This window comes from Homo sapiens, chromosome 20 (assembly GCF_000001405.40).
Source record: "Homo sapiens chromosome 20, GRCh38.p14 Primary Assembly".
NCBI classification, from domain to species: Eukaryota; Metazoa; Chordata; class Mammalia; order Primates; family Hominidae; genus Homo; species Homo sapiens.
In genome coordinates, this window is record NC_000020.11 from 13,630,933 (window position 1) to 13,654,183 (window position 23,251).

The 23,251-nt window shown below is 41.4% G+C and overlaps 1 protein-coding gene across 20 annotated transcripts in view, besides 5 other annotated features; it reads right to left on the reverse strand.

Annotated features, from left to right (window-relative positions):
* The window catches only part of TASP1 (taspase 1), a 534,161-nt gene extending 526,161 nt beyond the window's left edge, over nt 1–8,000 (reverse strand). For 16 of the 20 annotated variants that reach the window (XR_001754319.3, XR_007067463.1, NR_136629.2 and 13 more), the window contains exon 1: nt 7,962–8,000. The gene's annotated coding sequence lies outside the window, so the exon portion shown is untranslated. Of the gene's footprint in view, nt 1–7,332 lie in introns of all 20 variants that reach the window. The other 4 variants (XM_047440275.1, XM_047440268.1, XM_047440267.1 and 1 more) reach the window with 2 other exon arrangements.
* Nucleotides 7,357–7,857: an enhancer, noted in NCBI's record as "H3K27ac hESC enhancer chr20:13618936-13619436 (GRCh37/hg19 assembly coordinates)". NCBI's record gives its function as "activates a minimal SCP1, AML or CMV promoter by ChIP-STARR-seq in primed H9 embryonic stem cells {active_cell/tissue: H9 hESC(primed)}" and the evidence as "EXISTENCE:reporter gene assay evidence [ECO:0000049][PMID:30033119]".
* Nucleotides 7,357–7,900: a biological region, named in NCBI's record as "H3K27ac hESC enhancer GRCh37_chr20:13618936-13619436".
* Nucleotides 7,471–7,560: an enhancer, noted in NCBI's record as "active region_17551". NCBI's record gives its function as "activates an Ori minimal core promoter by ATAC-STARR-seq in GM12878 lymphoblastoid cells {active_cell/tissue: GM12878}" and the evidence as "EXISTENCE:reporter gene assay evidence [ECO:0000049][PMID:35858748]".
* Nucleotides 7,751–7,900: a silencer, noted in NCBI's record as "silent region_12679". NCBI's record gives its function as "represses an Ori minimal core promoter by ATAC-STARR-seq in GM12878 lymphoblastoid cells {active_cell/tissue: GM12878}" and the evidence as "EXISTENCE:reporter gene assay evidence [ECO:0000049][PMID:35858748]".
* Nucleotides 18,590–18,884: a silencer, noted in NCBI's record as "tiled region #128; HepG2 Repressive non-DNase unmatched - State 21:Repr". NCBI's record gives its function as "represses a minimal TATA promoter and a strong SV40 promoter by Sharpr-MPRA in HepG2 cells {active_cell/tissue: HepG2}" and the evidence as "EXISTENCE:reporter gene assay evidence [ECO:0000049][PMID:27701403]".

The window sequence follows — 23,251 nt, forward strand, 5'->3', positions numbered from 1 at the left end:
TATTTTTTAAAACAATTTTATCTGCTAAATCAAGCAAAAATTTGAGCTTTTATTTTTAAGTTTCAAATTTGTTTGAATGTTTGGTTTTGGGTGGTATTTGGGGAGTTTTTTATTTGTATTTTACATAAGTATTGACCCACAATGGATTGAAAATTTTTGAAAGCTGGTCTTTTATAACAGAGATAGTCTGACAAGCACTGTTATCTGGCATTTTTAAATTCCCTTAATTCTTGGTTTAAGAGTCTATTTAATTTTTATTATATAACATTTTATTTATAAGACAAATCATTTAAAATCAATTATATATACACATCGTTGCATTCAAATATTTATACAGATTCACAAATGCAGGAAAAAATTTTTACTACAAAAGTGCTGATTTTTAATTGAGTAACAGTAAATTTAAATGCCTGGTTTTGTTTTTGTTTTGTGGTGGTGTGTTTTGTCTTCCTAACCATGTTTTTCTTCCAAAGATTTCACAAGAATCTGCCTCAATTACCTTTATTTTCTTTTGGTTATTTCTCACAATATTTCTCTGAAATAGGCTATCATTTAGCCATGTATGACTTGACAAAGTTGATTTAGTGGTTCATCTGTCAGCCTATAATGCCATCATGTCTGTATCATGCCATGATATTTGGCCCAGCCATGAAATGAGCTTGGGACCATTAGTCTAGAAGCATAAACATAGATTGAAAACTCAGGCTTTGGAAAATTACGAGCTTCAGCTAAAACGAAAACACATCTAAGCAGTATGGACTATGAAACCTCAAGCAACTTTGAATCACTGTCATCTGAGATATTTTTTCATAACTAAGAAATTATAATATTTATATTTTGTAAGAAAATACTGGCCAGGCGCGGTGGCTCACGCCTGTAATCTAGCACTTCGGGAGGCCAAGGCGGGTGGATCACAAGGTCAGGAGTTCAAGACCAGCCTGGCCAACATGGTGAAACCCTGTCTCTATTAATTAGCCAGGCATGGTGGTGGGTGCCTGTAATCCCAGCTACTTGGGAGGCTGAGGCAGAGAATTCCTTGAACCCAGGAGGTGGAGGTTGCCTTGAGCTGCGATCGCGCCACTGCACTCCAGCCTGGGCGACGGAGCAAGACTTCGTCTCAAAAAAAAAAGTACAGATTTCCTTATTTTTTGGCCGGGCACAGTGACTCACGCCTGTAATCCCAGCACTTTGGGAGGCCGAGGCAGGCAGATCACAAGGTCAGGAGTTCAAGACCAGCCTGGCCAACATGGTAAAACCCCGTCTCCACTAAAAATACAAAAAGCTGGGCATGGTGGCGCGTTCCTGTAATCCCAGCTAGTCGAGAGGCTGAGGCAGGAGAATTGCTTGAACTGGGACCCGGGAGGCGAGGTTGCAGTGAGCAGAGATCACGCCACTGCACTCCGGCCTGGGCTACAGAGCAAGACTCCATCTCAAAAAAAAAAAAAAAGAAAAAAGAAAAAAAGAAAAGAAAAGAAAATACAAACATAATTATAACATCAACATTTTATATGGTTTGATGTAACAGGCATCTTAATATATATGAGAGATTTTAAAGCATTGCTTCTCAACGTTGTCTAAAAAGAAATGTGGAAGGTGATTAATATTCCATTTCTTGAGCAATCTACTCTCCCTCAGAGACTATCTGAAATATATTTATTTAGCAAACCATATAATCTCAACAAACCCCTCCAAAAATCCTGGCCCTAAAGTTCCACTGGACTGGGAAAGGAACTCAACTAAATTAACTATCAATACATGACTCTATCCTCCAACTCCCAATGGTTACTGAAATATTTTTTATTCAGTTAGAAATGAAGCAACTTCTACTCCAACATCAGTTTTTGTTTAACTCAGAACTCATTAAAGGTCTGACATCTAATAAATAAAGAGTGCCAACAAAAGACAAAAACAAAAAAAGGGCAAATAGACAAATCTCAGTTTGCAGAAAAATTACATAATAGCTTAACCAGACAAAAAATTCTAAATCTCACTCGAAAGATGCAAAATAAAATTACACTTAAATACCATTTTTTAACTTAGATTGACAATTATCAAAAAATAACATATTTTGAGAGTACAGAAAAACCGGAGCTAAGTTGCTAGCGGCAGTATAAATTGGTACGACTCAACAACAGCAATTTGGCAAAATCAATCAAAATTAAGATATAGCCCGAAAAATGTCTTGATGGAAGTGGTTAAAAATAAAAGCAGCCATTGGAAACAATGAGAAAACTTGATAAACATATATGTAACAGTCTCAAACATATTTGCTAAGTAAAAAAGGAATGGAAATAACTAATTTTTTAAGGTATGGTACAGAAGTATTTGCAGTACCATATGCAAAGTATAAATCTGGACAGATAAACAAAAAAGTCATACAATACTGATTACCAAAGGAGATTTGGATAACTAATAACAAAAGATGGGATAGAAATTTCACTGTTCACCCCCTTGAAACTTTCGAATTTGAACCATCTGAATGAATTATTTATAAAAAAATTTTTATTAATTTATTCATTTACGGGAATACTAGGTAATGAGCTAAGCCAAAGAACCAAAATAGGGCAAGCATGTTTCTCTGAGTATTGAACTTCTGGGATGCATAAGCTACAGGGAATCCAAATTGAGGGGGAAGGAAATCATAGTATTTGGTCTTTACAGTTAAGATGAGGGAGAAAAATAAATCATGAATGTAGCTTATCATCAAATATCTGTGATGTTTTTATCATATATGTAATCATTGTTACAAATCATTATGTGAAACTGGCTAAGTGTACTTAAGTCAATACATAGATCCACAAGAAAAATGTCTAATACTTCAGCTAACCTTTGAGGTAACACTCAACACAAAAGATTTCCAATGAAAGGAGAAACATAGGCACGTAACAGGTTTAGACCAAAAAAAAAAAAAACTTCTATCAATCACTTTAATAATGGCTTTATTTCTGACAAAAATGTTTGAACACAGACATTTTGCAATTTCCTCCTAGTAATGATATTAAAATTCATCATGATTATTTCTAAATAACACTGGCAACTTGTCTATCCTCTGCAACTGTTGCTCAAAAAGTTAAACAGAGTTATGCTATGACCCAAGAATTCCATTTCTAGGTATATACCCAAGAGAACTAAAAACATATGCTACACAAAAACTTATACATGGATATTCATAGCAATATTATTCACAGCATCCAAAAACAACCCAAAGGTCCATCAACTGATGATGAATAAACAAAATGTGGTATAGTCACACAATGGAACATTATTCAACCATAAAAAGGAATGCAGTGCTGACACATACTATGTCATTAAAGAATATTGAAACAATGAAAAAAACAGACACAAATGGCCACATATTATATGATTCCATTTATATGAAATGTCCAGAATAAGCAAATCTAAAGAGACAGACGGTAGATCTGTGATTGCTTAGAGCTGGAGGGATGGAAGGTAGGGTGATGGAGAGGGACTGCTACTGGGAGCACTTTCTTTTTGTGCTGATAAAAATGTTCTAGGACCAGGTGTGGTGGGTCACGCTTGTAATCCTAGCACTTTGGGAGGTCAAGGCGGGTGGATCACCTGAGGTCAGAAGTTTGAGACAAGCCTGGCCAACATGGCGAAATCCCGTCTCTACTAAAAATACAAAAATTAGCTGGGTGCGGTGGCGAGCGCCTGTAATCCCAGCTACTCGGGAGGTTGAGACAGGAGAATCGCTTGAACCAGGGAGGCAAAGGTTGCAGTGAGTCAAGATTGCGCCACTGCACCTCAGCCTGGGCAAAAGAGGGAAACTCCGTCCAAAAAAAAAAAAAAAAAAGCCTGGGCTCAGTGGCTCACACCTGTAATCCCAGCACTTTGGGAGGCCGAGGCAGGCCAATCACCTGAGGTCGGGAGTTCAAGACCAGCCTGACCAACAAGGAGAAACCCCGTCTCTACTAAAAATACAAAAATAGCTAGGCGTGGTGGCGCATGCCTGTAATCCCAGCTACTCGGAAGGCTGAGGCAGGAGAATCGCTTGAACCCAGGAAGCAGAGGTTGCAGTGAGCAGAGACCGCGCCATCGCACTCCAGCCTGGGCAACAAGAGCAAAACTCCATCTCAAAAAAATAAAAATAAAAAAAAGTTCTAAAATTGAATTTGGTAATGGTTGCACAACTCTGTGAATACACTAAATACCACTGAATTGTACACTTTGAATGGGTAAATTGATACACTGGGTACATTTTAAATGGGTAAACTGATCTTATTAAGCTGTTCGAAAAAAAAGAAAAAAAAGTCTTGCTCCCCATAAATTGTATCTTTCCCAAGTTACTTAACCCAATGGCATTTTCTTAATCTTCTGCTTACAACCTTTGATTCTCTTGATCACCTGCTTTCCTTGGCAACACACAAATCTACTACCCTAGTTCTTCATAACTCACCTCTGACCCCAACTGCAAATGTTTCCTTCAGCAATTTCTTTTTTTTTTTTTTTTTTGAGACACAGTCTCGCTCTGTTGCCTAGGCTGGAGTGCAGTGGCGCAACCTCAACTCACTGCAACCTCTGCCTCCCGGGTTCAAACAATTCTCCTGCCTCAGCCTCCTGAGTGGCCAGGACTAAAGGCACGCACCCCCATGCCTGGCTAATTTTTGTATTTTTAGTAGAGACAGGAATTCACTATGTTGGCCAAGCTGGTCTCGAACTCCTGACCTCAGGTGATCCACCCACCTCAGCCTCCCAGACTGCTGAGATTACAGGTGTAAGCCACCACTCCCGGCCAACCTTCAGCAACTTCATCTACTGCCAACCTTTCAAAACTATCCTCTCAGCAAATCAGATGATTCCTAACTTTATCTTCTGTCTTACCTATAGCCACAAGTTTTATGGATAGCTCAATCTAGGTCCACCTCACTCTTGGCCTAACCAAAACACGCTCTGCAGGGACTTTCATGGCACTAATTTAAGGTCTAAATCTTGCCTCATCTCTCTAAAAGATGGTTTTATTTTCCTACTGTATGTGATGACACTGTTTTTTTTTCTTACACCACTTTGAAAACTACCACGTCCTGTTGCTGTGGTGTTAAAGTTTTTCACCGTAGGTTTGCTTATTCTTTAAGAAGCAGTTGAAAAAGGAAGTAAGTCATGGAATTCATCCATCTTACAGCAAAGGGCTTTGATAGAAATCCAGCCCTTAAGCTATTACAACTCATGAATAAATAATTGTGTTGTTGCTTTTTTTTTTTTTTTTTTTTTTTGAGACAGAGTCTCACTCTGTCACCCAGGCTGGAGTGCAGTGGCATGATCTGAACTCACTGCAATCTCTGCCTCCCAGGTTCAAGCGATTCTTGTGTCTCAGCCTCCTGAGTAGCTGGAATTACAGGCGCAGGCCACCATGCCGGGCTAATTTTTTTTTTTTTTTTTTTGTATTTTTAGTAGAGACGGGGTTTCACTATGTTGGTCAGGCTGGTCTTGAACTCCTGACCTCAAATGATCCGCCTGCCTGGGCCTCCCAAAGTGCTGGGATTACAGGCGTGAGCCACCACACCCAGCCTTGTGTTGTTGCTTTTAACATCGTGATATTGAAGGTTTAATGCCTCATTAAATGAACTCCAGGACATACTTAAATTCATCTTCTAACCAGTAATTCCACTTCTGAGAAAACTTTCTACCAAAATAACTAAATAGAGAAAAGGTTTTATGCCTTTTATACCATGTTTAACACAGGATAATTTAGAATAACAAAAATCTGGGAGCAACCTAAATGTCCAATACAGAAAAACGGTTAAGAAAACAATAACCTACACTTTTATGATCAACTGATTTTCAACAAGAGTGTTGAAATGGTTTCTACCATTCAATGGAGGAAAGGACAGTCCTTTCATCAAATGATGCTAGAACTGGATAGCCACATGCAATAGAATGAAACTGAACTCCTACCTCACATCATACAGAAAAATTAACTCTAAATATCCTCCCTATTGCACTTGACAAGTCTTTGAAAAAAAAATTCTAAGTAGATAAAGGACACCATTCAAGAAAGTAAAAGGACAACCCATAAAATGGGAGAAAACGCAAGAAAATATTGCAAATCATGTATCTGGAAAGGGACTTACATTTAGAATATAGAAAGAACTCATACAACTTTAATATAAGACAATTCAATTTAAAAATGGGCAAAGGAATTAAATGGACATTTCTCCAAAGATATACAAAGGGTCAATAAGCACATTAAAAGATGCTCAACATTATTAGCCATCAGGGAAATGCAAATCAACACTACAATGAGCTACCACTTTATAAGCACTAAGACTGCTATAACCAAAAAGAAAGATAAGTGCTCCCAAGGATATGAAAAAATCAGAACCCTTATAACCTGCTGGTGGGAATGTAAAATGGTGCAACCAGTTTGGAAAACATTTGGCACTCACTCAAAAAGTTAAACATAGAGTTACCATATGCCCACCAATTCCACTTCTAGGTATATACTCAAGAGAACTGAAAACGTATGTCCATACAAAAACTTGTACACAGATGTTTATAGCAGAATTATTCAAAATAGCCAAAAAGTAGAAACAACCTAAATGTCCATCGACCGATGATGGTTAAGCAAAATGTGGCATATTCACACAATGGAACATTACCCATCCATAAAACAGAATGAAATACTGATACACAGACATTGATGAACCTTGAAAACATACTAACTGAAAGACACCAGACAAGTGAGGCCATATATTCTATGATTCCATTTATATGAAATGCCAGTATAGGAAAATCCATAGATACAGAAAGTAGATTAGTGGTTACAAGGCCTGGGAGAGAAAGCAGAGAATCTAATGGGGAGTGACTGTCATGAGTATAGGATTTCTTTTGGGGGTGATGAAAATGTTCTGAAAGTAGATAGTGGTGATGGGTGCACAACTTTGCGATATGAGAAAAAGCACTGAAATTTACAATTTTAAAGAATAAATTTTATGGTGCATGAATACCTTAATAAGACTTTCTCAAGAGGAAAAAAGACAATCTATCCGTGCAATGAACACAATGTATGTAACTATGCCTCTTAGTTATAACCGTATTTTACACGCATACATTATGATCACAAATAGGTTAATATGAATAAAATATTAGAAAAAAGATCAAAATGCTGGGTTGGCAGAACTATAGGTGATCTCTTCATAACTATTTCTGCATTTTCCAGATGTTCCTTAGTAAGCACTGCTTTTTGTAAGTGGTGGGGAAAAGTTTTATTTACAACAAAAAAGATAAATTATTAAACTCCTAAGAATATAAGTAAAAATTCCTTCGCTAATAAAGAATAATAATAATTCAGCAATCTAATGGCCCCTAACACACCTTTCCTTCCCCTCCCCTACAGAAGCCAGGAAAGTTGAACTCTCTCCTTCCGGAAACACGATACCCTCGATTTCCAGGACATCTCTAGCTCCTGCTTTCCCCCCCTCCTCTCCAGCTGCTCCATCTTCTCGGTCCTTTCCTCCTCCTCTTCTTCCTCCTCCTCCTCCCCCTGAGTAGTAAGTGCTAACGACCCGCAGGACTCTCATCAGGCCTCTATTACTAAGTAAGGGGCTGCCTTACCCCCAACCCGCCACCCAGGACAAGGCGCACATTCTCGGCTGTCTGCGAACCTCGGACTCTGAGACATCTCCAGCCTGAGACTGCAAAGTGGGTGAAGAACTGCGAGAACTCCCCACATACAGACAGTACTTCCCCGGTGGCCACGAGGACGCCAAGCCGGAGATGAGGCTGGGAAGGGGGACGACGGGGCCGCCTAGAGCGACCAAGACTAGGGAACTAGGGACATCCTGGCCCCCTCCTCTAGCCCCGCCCGGGGCAAGGGGTGTCCTGCGCGCCGCCCCCTCTCGGACCCGGAGAGGACGTCCCAGCTAGCGTACGGGGCCCACACACAGAGGCAGCAGCGCGGAGGCGGCAGCGGCGCGGACAGCGTGGGAAAGAGGGACACTCACCCGCTTCAGCCCCGAGCCTTCACTGCACCGGAAGTAGTCACCCGCCCGTTGCCAGGGTGAGGAAGCGGGGCTGACATCAAGTCTCCCCATTGGTCATTCGGGGTACCACGTGGTCGGAAGCAGCCTCCCACAAGCGGCTCTGACTCCGCCCTCCGCTTCGGAGCGGCTCACCTGGCCTCAGAGGTGCAGCGCTAACTCCACCTGGGGCTTCGTTCTGAGCTGCGCATGCGCTATTGCTTATCTCTACCCACCCCGCCCCTGAATAAGCCCGCAGGATGTGATTATATCTGAGTGGTTGATTGACTAATACTGTGATGAGAAATGAAATTAAACTGACCATCATTTTATCTAGGTGTCGCTTAAGAGTTACTTTCTTTCAATCCTTAGAGCACTGTTAGACGGTAGGGAAAACTAAGGTTCAGCCTGCATTGCTTGTAGGAGTTGGGGCACGAGCCTTGCCCAGGGGGAAGGAGTGTAGGCGGTCTTTTATCGGCTAGGATGTAAGACCGAAACCCAGTCATGGGTTTTGATGACCCATGACTGATGGATTTTCCTTATACTTCCACCAAAACATCACGTCGAACTGAATGTAAAGGCAGAAATGAGAATCTAACTGGCTTCTTTAAGCCAGCTATAGAGGAATTTACACTAATGCAAAAGATAACACTTTTCTTACCACATTTTTTTGTTTTTGGAAAATATTTATTCTTCATTAAAATGTCTTAATTATATTAACACATAATGGTTTATTATTGTTATTTTAAATAACTTTTTAACATTTCAGTTTTTTGTTGGTTTTTTTCTTTTTTTTTTGGAGATGGAGTTTCACTCTGTCAACCAGGCTGGAGTGCAATGGCACGATCTCGGCTCACTGCAACCTCTGCCTCCCGGGCTCAAGCGATTCTCCTGCCTCAGACTCCTGAGTAGCTGGGATTACAGGCGCTCGATACACACCCGACTAATTTTTTGTATTTTTAGTAGAGACGGGTTTTCACCATGTTTGCCATGCTGGTCTCGAACTCCTGACCTCAGGTGATCCTACTGCCTTGGCCTCCCAAAGTTCTGGGATTACTGGCGTGAGCCACCGCACCCAGCCACATTTCAGCTTTGTATTCAATTTTTAATATAGTAAATATTAATAGATGTAACCCACAGAAACAAAAGCTTTGGAGTGTTCTCTACTATTTTGGGGAGTATAAAGGTATGCTGAAACCAAAAAGTTCGAGAACCACTGATACCATTATTATAAATATAACCTATGTGGTTTTATTATGTAACTTGGGGCTTTTTTTCTTTCTCTTCTACCACTGACTTCTTAGGGAGGGGCAAGGGGAAGAAGTTTATTACATAGTAAGAATAACAGTTTATTACATAGCAATAGTAACTGAAACCGATTTTGTTACCTAGAAGTAGGATGGATATTATAACAAAACATAACATAATAACATCATAAAAGTAAAACGTGTGGCACTGGCTTTGGAACTAGGTGAAGCAGCAAGAGCAGGAAGGGATCCAAAGTATTAACAAGAGTCTAAAAGGACTTGAGGAAGCTGCCAATGAGGGCTTAAAGGGAGCTAAGGAAGATGTTATTGGAAGCTGGAGAAAATGGGGCCCTTGTTATATAGTGCCAGAAAGTTTGGCCCAGGCATTAGGAAGCAGACATAAACCATCCCCATTGTGACCTTTCTGAATTCCTCACCCGCAGAATCCATCAGCATAATAAAATAGTTGTTCTTTTGCACCTTTAAAGTGGATTTTTACACAGCAATATTAACTGGAACCAGCAGGAATAAAAGAAAGATGTTAAAGTTTTAAAAAGACATAGACATGCTCCCTTCCATTTCTTAGGCAACATTCTTCCTGGAATTTAACTACATTGTAATAATCATCTCCCAGTGCTGCTCTGTATACTTTTGTCTTGGGTATCACACCCAGATGCCACACAGGCCATCCTCTGGTAGGTGAATACTGCTCAAGTAAAAGTAACAAAATTCTTCGGACCCTTTTTTTTATTATTATTATTGAGGCAGAGTCTCACTCTGTTGCCCAGGCTAGAATGCAGTGGTGCGATCTCAGCTCACTGCAACCTCTGCCTCCCCGGTTCAAGTGATTCTCCTGCCTCAGCCTCCCCAGTGGCTGGGATTACAGGTGCCCGTGACCACGCCCGGCTAATTTTTGTCTTTTTAGTAAAGATGGGGTTTTGTCATGCTGGCCAGGCTGGTCTCGAGCTCCTGACCTTAGGTGATCCACCCATCTCGGCCTCCCAAAGTGCTGGGATTACAGGCATGAACCACCATGCCCAGCCCAGACCCAAGTTTTAACATTTTTAACCTGCATTGGGTACAGTAACAATGAGATCCTTTGAAATATTAATAACGAACAGTTGTAATATCTATTTGATTAACTCAACATGTTAAATTTGAAAGGAAAGTCTATACTAGTAAATCTCCTTCAGAAAAAATCTGGTTGCCTCCCTCTTCCTGTTCCCACCTCTCCCAAACCCGGAAAAGCAGCAAGCTGAGGAATTACTTCCTTTATCTCAAATAATCATGTCTGCTGCATCTTGATCTTTGTACTCTAAGTAAGCCCCCTCTGTCCTGGTTCCCTGGGGGTCTCCCTTTGTTTTGTATTCCTGGAAAACTATTGCTTTAACACATGTGTCAGAAATGTAGCAGAACAATAGTGATAGTTTTCAATTGTTGTGCCGCAAGTTAACACCAATTCACCTGCTTAAGACAACACAAATGTAATATTTCCGTTTCTGTGGATCAGGTGTCCAGGTCTCTGCTCAGATCTCAGAAGGCTGAAATCAAGGTGTCAGTCAGAGCTGCCATCTCATCGGATGCCCAGAGCGATTCTCCAAGCTCATTCAGGTGATTGGCAGAATTCAAATCCTTGCAGCTGTAGAGCTGGCCACTTTTGTCTTCTTCAAGGTCAGGAGGAGCAGTCCTCTCTGACTTTTCCACCTTGAAAGGACTCAACTGATTAGGTCAGGTCCCCCAGGATAATCTCTCCTTTGATGAACACAGAGTCAATGATTCGTCGTCAAGTTTCAGGAGGGATGGCCATCATATTCTCAGCTTCCATCCACACTCCAGGGGAGAGGATCATACAGGGTCTGTGCACCAGGGGTAGAAATCTTGCAGGTCATCTTAGAATTTTGCCTACCACGTGGAAAAAAGAAAGTTTCAATTATAGATGGACTGCGACAACCCTTCAAGCAGTCCTATGGTAGACAACAGTTGTTTCGCCTGCCCAGCATGAATTCCTTCTTATTTCTCCTAACAGCACCCCACTTCACTTCCAGGGACTGCCCTTCACCACTTGCACCCAGCGTAAGTGGGACTGTCCATCAGGATGCTCCGTGGGATGATCAACTGACCCATGCTAAGCTAAAGCTGCTTCTTGCCTGGAATTTGAAAATTGACAGCAATAATGCAAAGAGTAAAAGCAGTTGTTTATTCAACCAAGGTTACAGAGTTCCCTGTTACTGCTCCAGAGCTTGTATTTTTCCAAAACCTGCTTCCTTAGTTTTTCTTTCAATTATCTTAGGTACTCCCTATCCTTCCAACAAATTCCTTTTATCTTCTTTAATATATAAAATTTTGAGCAAGACAAATAATCCAGAGATTACTTGACTCCCATGTCAAGCCCTGATGACAACACATTGTCTTCGGAGCCCTGACGAAGACTGGTAAGATGAAAGGTGGCCCACCTGCCATCTCTGGTTTCATCCTTGTTGTCTGTCAATTATCTGGCCAGCTATGTTGTCATCCCCCATTCATAGGGCAATATAAATATTCTTCCTGCACAACAAACTGTCTGACCAGTTTGTGATTTAACACCTTTCTCTGCAATCTCTTAGCTTTTTTATTGTAACATGTAAAGAGTGTCCCCCCATTCTCATAAGCTTGTTATAAACATGAAATACAATTTGCTGAACCAGAACCAGTGTCAGCTTCTCAATCACTTTTTCCTAACCACCTTATTTTAAATTGCAATCACACTACCCTGCCTGTTCTCCTTCCTGTTTTATCTCTATCAGTAGCACACACCCCAACTAATCCTCTACAATTTTCCCCATTCTTTTAGTTTATTAATCATCTCTCCTGTAAAGTCAGTTCCATAAAGATGGGGCTATCTTTATTTATTTTTTATTTTTTATTTTTTTGAGACAGTGTCTTGTTGTAGCACCCAGGCTGGAGTGTAGCGATGCTACCATGGCTCACTGCAGCCTCAAACTCCTGGGATCAAGCCATCCTCCTGCCTAAGTCTCCCAAGTAGCTGGGACTACAGATGTGAGCAACTGCACCCAGCTAGAACAGAGATTTAAAAAGAAAAAAAAACATTTTATTGATGTTAAACATAAATACAGAAAAGTACAGCTTGATGATTCTTCATATAGTAAACACAGTGTGTAACCATTCCTCAGATCAAGTGAAAAAAATCATGACCTCGCCCCAGGGTAATCCTGACATCTAACATCACACATCCATTTTCTCTATATTTAAACATTATATGAATGGAATTTTACAGTATGAAAACTCTTTTATGTGTATTAATGTCACACGTTGAGATTAGTCCACGTTGGATGTTTATTCTCCTTGCCATGTGGTATTTCACTGAGATAATTTATCCATTACATTGTGTTTTCTTTCCAACTTTTAGGTTCAGAGGTACATGTACAGGTTTGTTACATGGGTAAATTGTGTGCTGCAGGAGTTTGGTGTACAGATTATTTTGTCACCCAGGTAATAAGCATAGTACCTGATAGGTAGTTTTTTGATCCTCACCCTCCTCCCACTATGTACCTTCAAGTAGGTCCGGGTGTCTATTGTTCCCTGCATTGTGTCCATGTGTACTCAGTGATTAGCTCCCACTTACAAATGACAAAATGTGATATTTGGTTTTCTCCTCCTGCGTTAGTTTGCTTAGGATAATGGCCTCCAGCTTCATCCATGTTGCTGTAAAGGACATGATCTCATTCTCTTTTATGGCTGCTTAGTATTCCATAGTGTATCAGTACCACATTTTCTTTATCCAGTCCATCGTTGATGGGCATCTAGGTTGACTGCATGTCTTTGCCATTGTGAATAGTGCTGCAATGAACATATGCATGTGTGTCTTTATGGTAGAACAATTTATATTCCTTTAGGCATATACCAGTAATGGGATTGCTGGGTTAAATGGTATTTCTGTTTTAAGTTCTTTGAGAAATCTCCAGACTGCCTTCCACAGTGGCTGAACTAATTTACATTCCCACCAGCAGGGTATAGGCATTCCCTTTTCCCCACAACCTCGTCAGCATCGATTGTCTTTTGACTTTTTAGTAATAGCCATTCTGACTGGTATGACGTGATGTCTCATTGCGGTTTTGATTTGCATTCCTCTAATGATTAATGATGTTGAGCATTTTTTCATAAGCTTGTTGGATACATTTGTCTTCTTTTGAGAAGTGTTTGCTCATGTCCTTTACCCAGTTTTTAATGGAATTTTTTTGTTTTGGCTTGTTAATTTGTTTAATTTCCTTACAGATTCTGGATTAGACCTACGTCAGATGCATAGTTTGCAAATATTTTCTCCCATTCTGTAGGTTGTCAGTTTACTCTGTTGATAGTTTATTTTGCTGTGCAGAGGCTCTTTAGCTTAATTAGGTCCCACTTGTCTATTTTTGTTTTCTTTGCAATTGCTTTTGAAGTCTTCATCATAAAATCTTTGCCAAAGCCTATGTCCAAAATCATATTTTCTAGGTTTTTCTCTAGGGTTTTTATAATTTTGGGTTTTACATTTAAGTCTTTAATCCATCTTGAGTTGATTTTTGTATATGGTAAAATGAAGGGGTCCAGTTTCAATCTTCTGCATATGGCTAAACAGTTATCCCAGCACCATTTATTGAATAGTGAGTCATTTCTTCATTGCTTGTTTTTGACAGCTTTGTTGAAGTTCAGATAGTTGCAGGTGTGAGGCATTATTTCTGGACTCTCTATTCTGTTTCATTGGTCTATGTGTCTGTTTTGTACCAGTACCATGCTGTTTTGATTACTGTAGGCTTGTAGTATACTTTCAAGTCAGGTAGTGTCATGCCTTCAGCTTTGTTCTTTTTGCTTAGGATTGCTTCCACTATTTGGGTTATTTTGGAGTCCCATATGAATTTTAGAGTGGTTTTTTTCTAATTCCATGAAAAATGTAATGGTAGTTTGATAGAAGTAGCATTAGCATTAAATCTATAAATTGCCTTGGGCAGTATGGCCATTTTAACAATATTGATCCTTCCTATCCATAAGCATGGAATGTTTTGTTTGTGTTGTCTCTGATTTCTTTCAGCTGTGTTTTGTAATTCTCACTGTAGAGGTCTTTCACCTCCCTAGTTAAGTGTATTCCTAGGTATTTCATTCTTTTGTGGCTATTGTAAATGGGATTGCATTCTGCATTTGACTCTCAGCTTGGACATTATTGATATGTAGAAATACTACTAATTTTTGTATGTTGATTTTATATCCTTAAACTTTGCTGGCCATGGTTCACACCTGTAATCCCAGCACTTTGGGAGGCCAAGGCGGGTGGATCACTTGAGGTCAGGAGTTCAAGACCAGCCTGACCAAAATGGTGAAGCCCCATCTCTACTAAAAAAAATACAAAATTAGTCAGGCATGGTGGTGCATGCCTGTAATCCCAGCTACTTGGAAGGCTGAGGCAGGAGAATTGCTTGAACCAGGGAGGTGGAGGTTGCAGTGAGCCAAGATCGCACCATTGCACTCCAGCCTGGACAAGAACAAAACTCTCTCTAAAAAAAAAAAAAAGAAAACAAAACAACAGCAACAAAAACTTTGCTGAAGTGTTTTATCATGTCATATCTAGAAGCTCTTGGGTCAAGACTATGTGGCTTTCTAAGTACAGAATCATATCATCCGCAAAGAGAGATAGTGTGACTTCCTCTCTTTCTATTTGGATGTCCTTTATTTCTTTCTCTTGCCTTGTTGTTCTGGCTAGGACTTCTAGTATAATACTATGTTGAATAGCAGTAGTGAGAGTGGGCATCTTTGTCTTGTTCTGGTTCTCAAGGGGAATGCTTCTAGCTTTTATCCATTCAGTATGATGTTGGCTATGGGTTTGTCATAGATGGCTCTTATTATTATCATTATTATTATTATTATTATTTTGAGATGGAGTCTCGCCCTGTTGCCCAGGCTGGAGTGCAGTGCGATATTGGCTCACTGCAACCCCCACCTCCTCGGTTCAAGCGATTCTCCTGCCTCAGCCTCCCGAGTAGCTGGGATTACAGGAGCACACCACCACGCCCAGCTAATTTTTGTATTTTAGTAGAGATGGGGTTTCACCATCTTGGCCAGGCTGGTCTCAAACTCCTGACCTCAAATGATCCTCCTGCCTTGGCCTCCCAAAGTTCTGGGATTACAGGCGTGAGCCACCACGCCCGGCCAAGACCACCTTTTGATGGGCAGAGTAGCACGTGCCTATAGGGAGGGAAGGAATTGATGGTGGCATTCTGGGAGACAAATTGCCACACTCAGTAAGGGTTCAGTGGTGGCATGCCCCCAACATCCCTTTTGGTTACTAAAGCAAGAAAAAAATTGAATTTATTAAAAGGATGGGAGTAGCTCACAAAATCAAAAAGAAGACTCTCAGAAAAGATAGGAACTAGAGAAGTTCTAGCTAGCAAGCACTAATGGACATGTTTTCGAGGTGCAGCCACAGGATAAATCAACTTTATGTGTTTCTCATACTTTTGTCTTCCTGCTCAAATTCCAAGCTAAAAAAATTTTGTCACATAATTGAATCAGTGTTTCCACCTTATCCAAGAGAGGACAAGATCCTTGAACTCATACTCCCTCTAAAACTGCATAAAATGGGAGAAGGAAATCAATAAACTATTCCCAAGGTAAGAAACATGGATGCCAGGCTGCAGAACAACGGATGCTCATTGTCCAGGATGCTTTGGGTATAACTTTACCTAAGATAAGAGGACCAGCAAGGGTTTCTCCAACTCCATACATATCCTTTAAAAAAAAAATCTGGGCCGGGCCTGGTGGCTCACGCCTGTAATCCCAGCACTTTGGGAAGCCAAGGCAGGTGGGTCACGAGGTCAGGAGATCGAGACCACCCTGGCTAACATGGATGCCTCTATTAAAAATAGAGGCTAACCCTGTCTCTATTAAACATACAAAAAATTAGTTGGGCACGGTGGCACGCACCTGTAGTCCTAGCTACTCGGGAGGCTGAGGCAGAAGAATCACTTCAACCCGGGAGGTGGAGGTTGCAGTGAGCCGAGATCGCACCACTGCATTCCAGCCTGGGTGACAGAGCAAGAAGACTGTGTCAAAAAAAAAAAAAGAAAAGAAAAGAAAAACTGCCTCTATGCTATGTTATCTATGTCTGTGAATTCAATAAAGTTTCACCAAACTTAAAAATATATTATTTGTTTGGAATTATTAATCATTGTTATTTTATATAGTTTAGAACTAACAACATTTCTCCATCCTTTATGATCTTGGTGAAGAAGAGTGTACCTGATAGTACTTGGGGAAAAAATGTATTTAGCTTCTATTTCAATGTTTCTCTTAAGTGTGAGGATAACACTGAAGGGATGTAATTTGTATACTAAACTAACTTTTTTTTTAATGTATTTTATTTTTAGAGATGGGGGTCTCACTATATTGCCCAGGGTGGTCTTAAACTCCTGGGCTCCAGTGATACTGCCACCTTGGCCTCCCACACTGCTGAAATTACAGGCATGAGCCACCACACTCGGCCCTAAACTAACTTTTGAAAAACATTTTATTATGAATTTTTTTTTTGAGACAGAGTCTCACTCTGTCTCTCAGGTTGGAGTGCAGTGGCATGATCTCGGCTCACCGCAACCTTCGTCTCCCGGGTTCAAGCAATTCTGCCTCAGCCACCTGAGTAGCTGGGATTACAGGCATGTGCCACCACACCTGGCTAATTTTTGTATTTTTAGTAGAGATGGGGTTTTGCCATGTTAGCCATTCTGGTCTCGAACTCCTGACCTCAGGTGATCTGCCCACCTCGGCCTCCCAAAGTGCTGGAATTACAGGCATGAGCCACTGCACCCGGCCCATTATGGAAAATTTTTAAAATCTGTTAAAATAAGACAACAATGGGGCAGGTGCAGTGGCTCACGCCTGTAATCCCAGCAGTTTGGGAGGCTGATGTGGGTGGATCACCTGAGGTCAGGAGTTCGAGACCAGCCTGGCCAACCTGGTGAAACCCCATCTCTGCTAAAAATACAAAAATTAGCTGGGCCTGGTGGTTGGTGCCTGTAATCCCAGCTACTTGGGAGGCTGAGGCAGGAGAATCACTCGAACCCAGGAGGCGGAGGGTGCAGTGAGCCAAGATCACGCCATTGCACTCCAGCCTGGACATCAAGAGCGAAACTCCGTCTCAAAAAAAATAAATAAATAAATAAGACAACAACGAAGTTTACAGCATTGATTCACTCTCCTTTCCTTTTGAATGAAATCCCATGTTCCAGTCACCAATTAGTCTGTAGTTTATCTGAGTTTATTCTGGCTGCTCACACTTTGTTAGCAGATGCTGCTGGTGCCCAGATTGCAGCTACTTGGCTACCTCTAGTCTCAGCCCTGGCAAGCAGCTCCAGCCTGCACCATCAGCTTCCCTGTCCTTCTGCTTTCTGTCCCAGAGCCAGCTCCAATGCCCAAGCATAACTTGGGGACACATGGAAGTGAGCACCCACCAAGGGGGGTGTTCACCCTCAACCAAAGGGGATTTAAATGCTCCAGCCTTAAGCCCTTCAGGCCAATTCTGAGAGGCAAACTGTAAACTTCTCGGAGTTCTTGGGATACTGAGTCTTGCAGCAAAGGATGAAGTGTCCTGACATTGGCTTTTCCTTCCTTTCTGCCTTACGCTTCATAGCCTCTCACTTTGCTGTCTGCAATCACCTGCCAAAAAACTCCCTGCACCTACACTCCTGTCTAGGGGTTTGTATTCACGGGAACCCAGATTTAGACAGGCTCCTTTATCCAGTCATATCTTTTGGTTACTGGCAACGTCTAATATTGATTTATATGAAGCTCATTTTGCAGACATAACTCAAGATGTTTTTTCAAGATGTTGGCTGATGTAATTAACTGCTGTAGAGAACAGCATTATGTAGGAGCAGCATTATTTTGCTCTTCCTCTTTTTTGAGACAGAGTCTTGCTCTGTTGCCTAGGCTGGAGTGCAGTAGCACAATCTCAGCTCACTGCAACCTCCGCCTCCCAGGTTCTAGTGATCCTCCTCCCTCAGCCTCCCAAGTAGCCGGGACTATCAGCGTGCACCACCATGCCCAGATAATATTTGTAATTTTAGTAGAGCTGGGGTTTCGCCATGTTGGCCAGGCTGGTCTCAAACTCCTGACCTCAGCTGATCCGCCCTCCTTGGCCTCCCAATATTTTACCTTTCTACAGAAATTGAGTAGCACTCTCTTCAATATTCTTGCTTAGTTAAAAGGGAGGGAGGGAGGAAGGAAGGAAAGAAGAAAGGAAAGTGGAGAGGGAAATGAATAAGCTCTTCTTTCTGACAGTTTTTACTACAAAATTTAAGTGTGCTTTTGGAGCTGAACATAAAAAACTTCACTCACCCAATTTGAGTTCCGAGCTTTACCTCTAAATCTTGTACTAGAGCCATCTAAGCTATGGGTGTATTAGCACCCAGTTAGGATGTGTTAGCAAGTGAATTGGCTGTCAGCACTTTGAGACCTGGGAACACACCCAGGCCCCCAGGGAAGCCGGACCCAGAGGTCAGAGGACAGCACTATTGTAGCCCAGTGTCTCTAATGGGAAACAGATGCTCCCAGCTGTCGCCTGCCATCAGCCAGCTCACTGAATGTTTTCAGCCCTGGCTCCTTCTGGACCAATCGAGCTGTATAAACACATTTTATCCGCAAGCCTGGTTGTGGGGGCAGCCAACCTATCTGTCTTCTTTTCTATTAGGAGAGCCTGCCTGTGCTGAATCCAAGGTTTAACTCATTAGAATAACAATTAAACAAAGGTAGGATTTTTTTTTCCCTTTTTTTTGTAAAGCTTCTATTTTCTTTTTGCTAACAGGGTTGATATTAGCTGATGGTTAATCTATTGAAAGTCAGGGGCAAAGGAAATCTGTTTGAAATGAGAATCTTTTTTTATTTTTTGATGGAGTCTCACTCTGTCGCCCAGGCTGGAGTGCAGTGGCACGATCTCAGCTCACTGCAACCTCTGCCTCTCAGGTTCAAGCAATCATCTTGCCTCAGCCTCCATAGTAGCTGGGATTACAGGCACATGCCACCATGACTAGCTGATTTTTGTATTTTCGGTAGAAACAGGATTTCACCATGTTGGCCAGGCTGGTCTTGAATTCCTGACCTCAAGTGATCTGTCTGCCTCCAAAAGTGCTAGGATTACAGGTGTGAGCCACCGCTCCTGGCCTGATATGAGATTGCTTTAAAGAGAAATGCAGACGTGGTATGGGAGATCGGGATGCCTGACTTGTAGAAGTAATCACATGTCCTTAGGAGTATCACTTAGCCTCTTTGGGCTTCATTTTCCTTTTTCAGTAAAACGAAGGCATTAGACTTAACTGATCACTAAAGAACTTTCTCATTATTAACATTTTAAATAATTTGTCATTTTATGGCTTCTATACATTCTTTCATTTAACATATTTTCTGAGCATCTGTTATGTACACAGCAGTCTTACTGGCACTTGTAAAACATTAACAATAGATTCCTTAGAGAGCCTAGGCCATAAGGCATCTGTTTCCTTGTCTCTCTCCAGCAGCTCTTCCCTTTTGTTCCCAATAACAACAGTCACTTGGACCATGGTAACTTATCTGCATCTCCATTTTATGTGGCTTTGCTGGGTCTGCCAGTCACGGTGACATTGCAGCCCAGCCCAGGTATGAGCATGTGATCCGGGCCTTGCTAATAACATACCATGCCCTGGGCCATGTAAGTCTGGGCTCATGACTTATGCCAGTCCAATCCAAGTTCTTCCCTGAAATTTTCAACAATCATTTTTGGAGAGAAGATGCTCTTTTACATGTAGGGTTACTAAATAGGAGAGAGTGGCCATTCCCTTTTTCTTTTGCATGGAGAAAGTTCGTCTAAAGTTGAAAAAAACTGAGGCCAACACATGAAGAGAAGCAGAGCCAGAGATGGGGAGAAATTTCAAATGGCCTTGTTTGAAGCCCCTTCCCGCCCAGCTATGTTCACTAATCTCTCACTCCCTCTTCCTCTCTTTATCTCTCTCTCTCTTAGACAGTTTTGATCTCAAACTTTTGGCCTCAAGCGATCCTCTCATCCCGGCCTCTCAAAGTGCTGTGATTACAGGTGTCAGCCACCGTGCCCACCGCACCTGGCCACTCTCAGATAGTTTGAGATGGCTTTCTGTCACTTTCAACGAAAAGACTCCTGACAAATACATAGTCAAACCCCCATTTTTTTTAGTATAAGGAAACTGATTCTCACAGTGTTTGGAATTTTTTCAAGCTTCCATGGTGAGTGAGTAGCAGAGGCGGTACACAATCATAGATCTCCTGACTTCCAAACCAGTTCTTTCATTTTCATGTTTCTTCCACCTTTGTATGATGAACATTTTCGAACATGCTGAAAATCTGAAAATAAAGAAAAGCAGGCCGAGTGTGGTGGCTCACGCCTGTAATCCCAGCACTTTGGGAGGCTGAGGTGGGTGGATCCCCTGAGGTCAGGAGTTCAAGACCAGCCTGGCCAACATGGTGAAACCCAGTCTCTACGAAAAATACAAAATTAGCCAGGCGTGGTGGTGGGTGCCTGTAGTCCCAGCTACTTGGGAGGCTGAGGCAGGAGGATCACTTGAACCTGGGAGGGATAGGTTGCAGTAAACCGAGATTGCACCACTGTAATCCAGCCTAGGCGACAGAGCAAGACTCTGTCTCAAAAATAATAATAATAATAATTGCAAAAACGTGGCATATTTAACAACCAGTCACTGCTTTTTTTAGGTGAGTTGAATCCTTACATATGTTATCAAACCGAAATGGGGTCTGCTTGCCTGGCACGGTAAGGCCAAACATCTACATTGAGGTTTGCAGTGGGAGAAAGGAGGGTGTTTATTTGCAGGGCACCAAGCAAGGAGAATCTAGGCAGCTCGTGCTTAAGACCCAATCTCCTCGATGGTTTGTAAGTAAGGGTTTTTAAAGGCAGAGGTAAATTTCAGGAAAGCAGAAGTTACAGGCAAAATCATAAATCAATACATGGAGGTTGCATATTGGTTTGGCATATAAAGGGCAGGATATCTTGAAGTGGGAGCTTCTAGGTCATAGGTAGATTAGAAAATTTTCTGATTTGCAATTGATAAGGAAGAGAAGCATCGTTTAAAAATTTGGAGTCAGCAGGCCAGCGCAGTGGCTCATGCCTGTAATCCCAGCACTTTGGAAGGCTGAGGTGGGTGGATCACCTGAGGTCGGGAGTTCGAGACCAGCCTGACCAACCCCTCTCTACTAAAAATACAAAATTAGCCAGGCCTGGTGGCGGGTGCCTGTAATCCCAGCTACTCGGAAGGCTGGGGCAGGAGAATGTCTTGAACCCGAGAGATGGAGGTTGCGGTGAGCCCAGATCACACCATTGCACTCCAGCCTAGGCAACAAAAGCAAAACTCCATCTCAAAAAAAAAAAAAAAGAATTTTTGGAGTCAGCAGAAAAAGAATGCCAGCCCTGGCTTGTGGATGTGACCTTCTCCAGGTACCTCAGGAATAAATTTAGAACAAAAAACAGCAGTCAGAGTTCAGCTCTCAGTTCTCCCTTTTCTGAGGTCTTTGGGTCAGTGGGTCCATTTGATGGGGGATCTGGATTTCTGAAAAACAATTCAGGGACATAAGTTGTTACCTTTAGGCCGGGTGTGGTGGCTCTTGCCTGTAATCCCAGCACTTTGGGAGGCTGAGCTGGGCGGATCACCTGAGGTCAGGAGTTTGTGACCAGCCTGGCCAACATGGTGGAACCCCATCTCTACTAAAAATACAAGAAATTAGTTTGACGTGGTGGCACGCGCCTGTAGTCCCAGCTACTCGGGAGGCTGAGGCAGGAGAAGATGTTACCTTTAATTTATATAGGAAACCAAATACCCTGTGATTCTACCCTCCTTGGCTATTGTTTTAAGCTACTGTTACTTCTTGCTTATCTATTTTCCTATTTACTTCTCAGGGCTAGCCAGGTGCCTGGAATTTTCCTTGAAGGAACTTAAGATTTTCCTTTCTTTCCATGCTTGAGAGGGATCCCACAGACTCCTAGGAGGGGGTTCTGCTCCATTTGTACCTCTCTTGGCCAAGTGATATCTCAGTAATCCTGCCAGTCACTCTCTAGACAAACAGCTCTAAGAGTAGTTTGGAGACACAGAAGCCGCGTAAGCCTACAGAAAAAAGCTGGTCAGTCCTAAACTGAAACAGGCTGGGCTTTCACAAATTTTGCTTGTCCAAAAAACAGGCTCAAATTACATCCCAAACAACTCACGGCTTTTTATAGGGCTCTTTTAACACTTTAGCCAAATAATTGTTAGTTTATTTTGTGTAAATGGTTTAAATATATGTTTTAGCATTAAAATGATCCAAAACCAACACTTGGCATTGCTTTCAAGTGCCTTTTCAACCTTCCCTCAGTGGAAACCAGATTAACTTCAAATTTTATAAGAGAAATGTCCTAATCTTCCCATTCTGCCCTCAGTGGTTCCAAAATCATGAGAAAATGGGCATCTTCAGTTTCTTCTATTTTCTGTAACTTTTCATTAATTATTGAGATATTTATTCAGAAATGAACCAGGGAACATATGCTTCAAATTTTATTTTTATGGTTTTTTTTCACTATGCCATGAATAATGTCCAAAACATCAATATTAAACCAAATTAAACCATAACTGACAAGGGCACATTTGAATCTAATAGGTGGTCAACTGCATTTTTTCTGATCCAATTCTACAAATGTAGTAGAATTTGTACTAGAAAAATCCAAAATATTCTTAGAAACAACAAAATGGAAATTTTTAAAAGGAGAAATTCTATATAACATGGTCATTTAAAGCCAGATTTACCACTGGAAAAATTTCCTGGGAGCAAAGCCATATTTATTAAAGACAAATGTACCTCAAGTACAGGAATATCTTTCTTTCAGGATTCTCAAAATGTAAATGTTTACACATACAAATAGTGACACATTGTACTTTACAGCAATATTTCTACAACTGTGGAGCTGGAAGAAACTGTGATAAACTCTGTGGATCCCCTTGGGTGCCTTTTACCATTTCTGTGCCC